This window comes from Homo sapiens, chromosome 10, assembly GCF_000001405.40.
Source record: "Homo sapiens chromosome 10, GRCh38.p14 Primary Assembly".
NCBI lineage: Eukaryota > Metazoa > Chordata > Mammalia > Primates > Hominidae > Homo > Homo sapiens.
Window position 1 is genome coordinate 84,843,744 of NC_000010.11, and position 3,491 is coordinate 84,847,234.

Consider the following 3,491-nt stretch of genomic DNA (forward strand, 5'->3'; position numbering starts at 1 on the left):
TCCCTGTCTACATATCCCCCCTTGGTGTAGTGGATGCTGTGATGTGTGGCCCAAATCCCACTTTAGGGCTGAAATTATTACTTTCTGTGGCTGTCAGGCCCCTGTGAAAGTTGCCTACAGATGGAGAAAGCTGCTTCTTCCAAGGCCATGCCCACTTCCTGGGGCAGATATATCCCACAACTGGGGGATGAATGGGCATGGAGCCTGGCCTCCTTGCCGAAAATCAAGACAACCCTGAAAAGCCATACTAATTTGAGGAGCTGAGTCCTCTGTTGAAATTATATCATGGCCCAACTTCTTTTGTTCAGTCTTATTTCTTCCCCTTTCTCTTTATGTGTATTGACCTGAGAATACTCTCTAAATAAATTGCTGGCACGATAATCTCATTCTCAATGTCTGCCTTGCAGGGATCCCAGTCAACGTAGTTGATCACTTTTCTCAGCCCTTGGCTCCCTTGCTTGGCTCAAATGATGCCAGGCATGAGAGCACCTCAGGGCCTTTGCATGAGCTCTGTCTTCTGCAGTTTCGCTCTCCCTTTGCATAGCATGATGGCCAGCTTCCTCACTTCAAGCCTCTGGTCAAATACCACCTCATCAAGCAGGCCTTTGAGGCCTCCCTGTGTAAAAGGAAAACCCTTTGCTCATTACCTTGTTTTATTTCTTTCGAACCCATATGAGCATCTGACACAAAGATTTTCTGCTTTACTATGTCTTTCCCTATCAGTATGTATGTCCCATGGAAATATTTAGTTTATTACTCTTTTGCCAGTGTCTGGCACAGAGTAAAAACCAAATAAATATTTGTTGAAAGAATGAATAATGAGAGAATTATATTTGCTTTCCTGCTTTAAGTCTGCAAGTACTTTCTCTTTCCATACTTTCCCCTGTTTGGCTGTAGTTTGATGTCCGGGATTTCCAACTGGAGACAGCATACCCTGTAGTATGTTCTTGACTAGCTGATTTAGTTGCTTGGGAGAAGTCGGGGAGATAGGATTTTTGGAAGAATGCCTGGATAAAGCCCATGTTCCCAGGAGAGAGGGGGAAATAATCTGGCTTGTTCCTTTTTAAAATTTTTTTAGGAAAAATTTTCCTCTGCTATATTTGAGCTGTCATATATCAAAGCACCGGACACTGACCTCTGTGTCTGTAGACCTTTTGCCTTTAACCTCATCACTATCTGTTATGTGTGAATTACAAGCAGAGGGGTTGAACTGTCATTCACAGTGATTAGCAGCCCTTTGGCCATAGGATTACACATCCTCATTTTGGAGGACCAGTTACTTACTGGTGAATGTCCCCAATTCACTAAGTCACTGAATGCACACTTACATATTTCTCTAATGTTTAAAAATCCTGCTGGGCGCAGTGGCACACGCCTGTAATCCCAGCACTTTGTGAGGCCGAGGCCGGGGGATCACCTGAGGTCGGGAGTTTGAGACCAGCCTGACCAACGTGGAGAAACCCCGTCTCTACTAAAAATACAAAATTAGCTGGGCATGGTGGCACATGCCTGTAATCCCAGCTACTCGGGAGGCTGAGGCAGGAGAATGGTGTGAACCTGGGAGATGGAGGTTGCAGTGAGCCGATATCGTGTCATTGCACTCCAGCCTGGGCAACAAGGGCGAAACTCTGTCGCAAAAATAAATAAATAAATAAAAATTAAAATAAAAAAAAATCCTCCTTCACTAAAATAATGAATACAAAGCCCTTGTACGAAAACTTTTCAATTAACAGAATGAAACTGAGCAAATCCTAAACTTGCACTTGCCCTGTGCTTGACAAGTTTTTGTTTATTTGTTTGTTTTCCCACATGGGAATACAAGACCTGAACTTTCCTTTCCCACTGTGGTTGGACAACAGTGTGAGGGAAGCCATCCAGTCCTCCCTGTGATTTTGGGAAGATCTTGATTGTGAAGGGCTGTTTGTAGACCCCATCAGAGGTGCCCAGGTAAATGAGCAGTGTCTGATTCAATTAACTGATAAGAATCCATTAGCACATCCAAGCCATCTTGTTTGAACACAGAGCACTGTGTACAAATAACCACCAGGGTGGCTGTCACTTCTTACTGGAGAAATCTGAGGCTCCTGTGTGTGCCACAGCCCAGAAGGTGGCACCATACACATATAAGGGACAATTGACTTTAAAATGCCAATGAGCCCTATGCAGGTAGCAATCTGTGAGAAAAAATCCTCTAATTGGATGGCTTTAATAGCAGAACCCACTTTTTCTGTGTCTGGCAGGCCTTCCGCTTTGAGAAGGTCAGGGCTTTCACAGTCTGCATATTTTTCTCTATTGCCCAGTGTGTTGGGGAGAACTCGAGTATGGGAGTTGGCCTACTTCATTTGAAATCTTGACTTTGCCATTTATAAGCTGCATGGCCCTGAGTGTAGTATTTAACCTTGGTTTTGCTCAATATAATTTAGGATTAATAAGAACTCTGTCATCAGGCTCTGAGGACTAAATGAAATAAAGTTCACTGAGTGTGTTACATACTGTCAGGTCTGCACACTTCCCCTTTGCATTAGAAAAGGGCACCGTTCTTGGCTGACACAGCCCCTCAGACTGGCATGTGAGTGGAAAGTGGGCTGGAATGCAGCCAGCTCCTATCAGCCCAGGGACCAGGCACTCAGGTGGAAGTCCTACCTCTAACCTCTCCCTACCTTACCTGGGGACTGGTGAGCCTGGAGTTTGTTGTGACTTAGATGACTAGTCATGGCAAGCGTTACTTCCCAGGGGGACAGATTCTGGTGCAATGTTACTCCTTTGGAAGAAGATGAAAGATAACCATGAAGTTTAAGACCTACAGCCTTAAAGGTACAAGAAGCATGCTACAGAGCCAGACTGAAAGAAAGAAATGCATAAATGAATATATCAAATTGATCTTTGTTCAATCATAAATTGAACAAAGAATTCTTAGAAATTGGAAGTGGAAGCTTAGCCCCAAAGTGGGAAGTTTTACCTGCTTGGAAAATTGAATTTGTTACCCTTTGGGATAGTGAAGTTCCTGGATAGCTTAAAGGAGTGTCTAAAATGTGGGTCCCTGTAAATGATGACTGTGAGCAGTAGAGCTCTAGCAGTGGGGACACGTTGCCATGGAAACCCTGAAGCTGGAAGCTCCTCAGGGCCTCAGAAAGGCTGTCAATTAGATCCATACTCTTGGGGAGTTTAATGAAAACAGACACTTGTCATTTTTTTAGCAGCCATCTAACATTATATACATTTAAAATATTTCCATGGAAAGAAAAGCCTGCCGTTAAGTTTAGCTGTTTATTTTAAGAGAATTCCCTTGTGTGGCTTTGACAGGGCAGATTTTTTTTTTCCTTCTTTCTTCACATTAAAGGAGAAAAGTGAGGCCCTCCAGTGTTTAGCAGAAACACAATTAGGAGAGTCACTGATGGTGGTTCATTCAGGCTGTTCAAGAGGCGCTTCAGTCCTCCTGCCCTTATTTACATCACAGTGGGGATGGGTGGTCCTACTGGCCCCTTCATGTT